Consider the following 6,000-nt stretch of genomic DNA (forward strand, 5'->3'; position numbering starts at 1 on the left):
AATGTTTACAGAAATCACGTAGCCTCTTTGGACCTGTTTTCTCCCCTATAAAATGAGAAAAGCAGTATGATGCAGAGCAAGTTCATGGAATTTGGAGTCTGCTAGACTGGGGTTGTATTCCAAAGTTTGCATCATATTCTATCCCTTAGGCCTATTAGAAAATTGCTCTAAACTCTGTTTTTTAAAATCTTCCAAATGTAAATAACTCCTTCTTCATAGCATTGTTGGAGGATCTAATAGAATAATTGATGAGAAGCTCTTGACATACAATAAATGCCACTTTTTGCATGTATAGCATTTAGTCAAGTGATGCCAATGTGGATGTCACCAATAAATATTTTACTGAGTATTGGCTATGTGTGCGAGACTTCGTATTGGGCACTAAGGTATGAAGATTTACATGCTTAGTACCAGGACCTGGCACATGGAAGGTACCCAGAAAATGTTGATTCAACTCCCGGATGAGAAAAAGTCCCCCAAATGCAGAATCCAATATGTTAGAACATGGATATGTGCATTTGTTTTTTTAAAAAGTCTATAAAATTAAAAACTTCTAAATTTATCACTAAGGATTGCTTTAAAGTTTAACATTATATTTTGAGGAAATTATGAGCCTCAATATAGAAATACAAAGTATTCAAAATATGTAAATAATAATTGTTCTTATGTAGATGTAAATTAATCTCTAAGGTTTTTAGGACAAGTTACATAAGAGTCCAAAACAATTGCCAAGGCCCTGAATAGGGAGTTTGGTTCCTATATTCAAAGAACATCAAAAAAACTAGTGTCGCTGGGGCAAGTTAAGTGAGAGATAAAATGAAATTAAAGGTGATTGTGGCCCTGTCTCCCAGTTTCTACAGGAATTAGGAGTGTGACTTCAGGAATGGCTTATTCCAAGTTGTAAAACTATCCCCTGTCGTGAAGGTAGGATAAAGTTTACTTTTTCTTTGGGTAAGGCCAATTAGCAAACACAGGTGGCCAATGATCCTCTCCTGACACAGCTTTTAAACACTTTCCAGCTTTTCGTCTCAGAAAAGTTGAACTCCAGGCCTTTCTCCTCTAGTTCAATAGCCTTGAATAAAGTCTTTCTTACCTGTATAACTTTATATAGTGTCATTTTTTCTTTGACACAATGATAATGGTAAGAAGTGGTGGGATCACTGGATATATTTTGAAGACAGGATTTTCTGATAAATTAGATGTAGACTGTGAGAAAAATAGAAGACTCAAGAATTATGTCAGGCCAGGTGCAGTGGCTCATGCCTGTAATCCCAGCACTTTGGGAGGCTGAGGTGGGCAGATCACTTGAGGCCAGGAGTTCAAGACCAGCCTGGCCAACATGGCAAAACCTCATCTCTACTAAAAATATAAAAAATTAGCCAGTTGCAGTGGCATGCACCTGTAGTCCCAACTACTTGGGAGGCTGAAGTGAGAGAATTACCTGAGCTCAGGACTGAGTGGAGATCACACCACTGCACTCAAGCCTGGGCAATGGAGTAAGACCCTGTCTCAAAAGAAAAAAAAAAAAGGAATTCTGTCAAAGGAGTCCGTGAACAAATGGATAAATAGAGTTGTCATTGACTGAGATGGAGAACACTATGGTTATGGCATATGGGGGCGGTGAGTTGGGAAATTCAGTTTTGAATATGTGAGTTTGAGATGTCTTTTAGACTATACGGTAGGCTTTTAAATATTGAATGTAAGAATTTGGAGTTAAGAAGACCTGTCAGAACTAAAGATATAATTGTGGGTGTTGTTACAGTTTGAATGTTCGTCCCCTCCAAACTCATGTTGAAATTTAATTCCCTATGTGGCAATATTGAGAGGTGGGACTTTTAAGAGGTAGTTGGGTCATGAGGACAGAGCCCTCCCAAATAAATGAATCTATTCATGAATTAATAGATTAATGAGTTAATGAATTAATAGATTAATGAGTTATCACAAGATTGGGACTGGTGGCTTTATAAGCAGAGAGAGGAGAGACCTGAGTTAGCACACTTGGTCCCCTCACCATGTGATGCTCTCCACTGCCTTGGGACTGTGCAGAGTCCCCACCAGCAAGAAGGCTCTCACCAGATATGGGCTCTCAACCCTGAGCTTCTCAGTCTCCATAACTGATAAAAATAAATTGTTTCATTCATATATATATATATATATATATATATATATTTCTTCATATATATATATATACACACACACTATATATATGAAGCAATTTATATATATATACACACACGTGTGTGTGTGTGTGTGTGTGTGTGTATAAATTGCCCAGTGTCAGTTATTCTATTATAACCACCAGAAAACAGACTAGGACAGGAGTCTTCAAAATACAAAGCATGTATCAAACCAATGCCTGGATATAAAGATTGTGGCTAGAGAGGAGAAGACTAAAGATTGAACCCTGAGCCACTACATCAGTTAGTGAGATAAGAGAACTTCCAAAGAGACTGAGAATGCATGGCTCCGGGTCAGAAAATCCAAGAGTGCTGCTTTGGAAGCCAACAGAAGAAAGGATCTTCAGGAGAAGGGAATGATCCTCTCAGTCAAATGCTGTTGATAAAGTTAAATGTGAGCCTAGAGTTGGTCACAGGATTCAGCAACTTGGAGGTCACGGGTGATCCTAACTAGTACCATTTCACTGGAGTGATGGGAACAAAAACTGGACTGGAGTAAGTGAAGAAGAGTAGGAGGTGGGACTTGGAGAAACTGAGTCTGGTAAGGAGTTTTTGATGCAAAATTGAATAGAGAGATGTGTCAGTAACTAGAGAGAGAAGAGGGGTAAGGTTTTGTTTTAGGTTTGATTGTATGTTAGGGATGACAGAAATAAAAGCACAGTTGAACTGATGGGAAGGATACAGTAGAGAAGAATGTTTTGATGTTTTGATGGCATAGGAGAAAGACAGAGGGGAGAACTGTTAGAGTGAGGCATGATGTCCCTGAGTAGGGGAGATGAAAGTAAATCCAGGGTCTAGTGTACCAGATAAGGAATTAGCCAAGTGATGAGATGCATCATATTTCCACCAGGAGAGGAGGTAGACATTTCACTTCAATAGCCAAAAGGAAGGCAAAATATATGGGCACAAAAGCTGGCATGGATGGGGGATGTGGTAAAGGAGGTTTATGAAAATTCTCGTCTGATTGCTTTTAAATTATATTTTTTGGCTTTGAAAAATCCACGGAACTTTAATATCTGTTATGAAGGAGTAATAGGGAGATTTTCATCTATAATATGAGTTGTAGAACACTTTGAAAAATGAAGCCTGTCTCCAAAGATAATTAAGTATTCCCTTAATTTTAATGACACGTCTGTGACTCATTAGTGGATCTCTCTTTTCCTTTCAAGGCAATAATAAAATAACAGTCATACAATTTAAGTATTATTTTCTAACATTTCTATTTATTACTTTTATTCTGTTTGAATTTTTACTGTTACTCTTTCCACTGCAGTGACAAAAAAGAGGTTATTCTTACCTTATCTATATACAGCTACATTTTGACATTTGGATTTTTAATCTACCAACATCTAGCCCAAGGCATCACATCCTTTCAATTTATCTGAAGAATGTTACTGTTGTATTTTTGAAAGAGAAGAAATATAATGTCTAATAATAAAACTAATAGCAACAATAAGAATAATCAGCATTAATTAACTGTTTATATACTGCTAAATGTTTTACACTTCACACAGATTACATCTTTTAATTCTCACAAAAAACTATGAGTTAGGAACTATTATAACAATCGTTATAAATAAAGTTTCGGTGCCGCAAAAGAAATAGCACTTGAATATAAAATTTTCTTTGTAATTCTCAGCAAGTCAAGTTATTTCTATAGATGGGTACTCCCTTACAGAGGGAGCAATGGTGAGCCCACTTGGACAAGGGCAGGGAAGGGGTTCTTAACCCTGACGCGCGTGGCCCCTGCTGCTCTGTCCTTCCCCTATTGGCTAGGGTTAGACTGCACAGGCTAAACTCATTCCAATTGGCTGATTTAAAGAGAGTGACAGGGTCAGGATAAGTGGTTTGGCGGGAAAAATGGTTATGCAGGGTGGAGAATGAGTTAGGGAGGAGCAGGTAGCAGGTAATCAGAATGAGTCAGGGTGGAGCAGGTGATTGAAATGAGTCAGGGTGGAGCAGGTAATCGAGAAAGGTTGCTTTATGAGGAAGTAAAGTTTAAAAGTAGAAGTCAAAGAATTGAACATACTGACATATTGATTCTTTGAAAAGAAATTTAGAACTCATATCTACCACACCCATTATTTATATTATGCATTTGAAGTTTTAAAAGGTTAAATAACTTGTCTATGTTTACACTGACTAAGTTACAGAGCTGGAATTTGAAAGCAAATTGACTACTCTTTACAACACCAGATTATCCCAGAAGGTTGTACGAGAAAAACCCTACCCTTTCAAATGGTAAAATGTAGGTGAATTCATCATGGCAATGGTGTTAGCAGCAGTGCGTGGTGTGTGTTAAGTTAGTGTGTATGTGCACACATATAATTGTTAAATGTGGACACTCATGCTTATATGTAGGTTTCTATTTATTTAGAAGTATACATCCAGTGGTTTAGAAAGCATTCCTTATTTTTTTGTTTTATATTCAAACCTACTTATGTTTCATTAATTCTTAACCTACTTAACAACTGGTTCTCAGAACGTTTAGCGGGCATTATTCAGGCATCTATTTTAGCTGATAGAAGAAATCATATTCATAGATTCCTAGGGTTCAACCAATAAGAGAGAGAGAGAAATAGAGTTTGAAACAGAGGGTCGAGGAGGAGTGGCTCAGGAGTTAGTGGGGCCTGGAAATCTGAAATTCATGGTGCAATCTGACAATTTGGAAACTTAGGCAAGGGTAGATGTTGCATTCCTGAGGCAGAATTCCTTCTTCTGGAAACCTCAGTTTTCACTCTTAACGCCTCCAACTGATTGGTAGATGTACACCCATATTATCAAGGATAATCTTCTTCACTTAAAATCAATTGATTGTAAATGTTAATTACATCTATAAAATACTTTTACAGCAACCTCTGGGCTGGTGTTTGACCAAACAATTGGTCACCATGCTGTCTTAGTCCATTTGGGCTGCTAAACAAAATACCATAAACTGAGGTGCTTAAAAAACGATAGAAATTTCTTCCTCTCACTTCTAGAGTATTGGAAGTCCAATATCAGCTCTGGCAAATTAGACGTCTAGTGAGGGCCCACTTTCTGCTTCATGGATGGCAGTTTTCTCCCTGAATATGGTGGAAGGGGTTGAGAGGTCTCTGGTGCCTCTTTCATAAGAGCACTAATTCCATTCATGAGGGCTCCACCCACATGGCCTAATCAGCTCTCAAAGACCCCACCTTCTAATATCATCACATTAGGGATTTGGTTTCAACATATGAATTTTGGGTGAGCACACACATTCAGTCTATAACAATAGCCTAGTGAAGGTGGCATATAAAATTAACTACCACAGTAAATATTCCTTGTGATAAGATAAATAATTCCTAGATTACTGCAGAAAATATAATACTGAGTATTACATACATGTTGAGAGGTGTTCCTGAGCACTGCTGCATGTTTGGATGCTTGTTCATGGCAACAGTAACTTCTCAGGTATTTTGCTTAATAAGCTTTTATGTCTGACATGCAGAGAAAAACATAGTCTATGTTTGCAGTAGCAATTATAGTAGAGACTGCTCTCCGTGGACCAAAACTTGTGCTTCTCCTTTCATGTTATAGAGCTGTCAGCTGGATGCAGCTGCCTAGCCAGGGACTACCTGTCCCAGATCCCTATTCCTTACCTTCAGGCGGGGCAATGTGACTAATTCTCACAAATAAAATTTGAGCAGAAGAAATGTTAGTTTCAGGCTGATATGGTTTGGTTCTGTGTCCCCACCCAACTCTCACCTTGAATTGTAACAATCCCCATGTATCATGGGAGGGACCAGTTGGAAGGTAATTGAATCATGGGGGAGGTTTTTCCCGTAAGTTGGTCTCCTGATGG

Source organism: Homo sapiens, chromosome 4, assembly GCF_000001405.40.
Source record: "Homo sapiens chromosome 4, GRCh38.p14 Primary Assembly".
In the NCBI taxonomy this organism is placed as follows: Eukaryota; Metazoa; Chordata; class Mammalia; order Primates; family Hominidae; genus Homo; species Homo sapiens.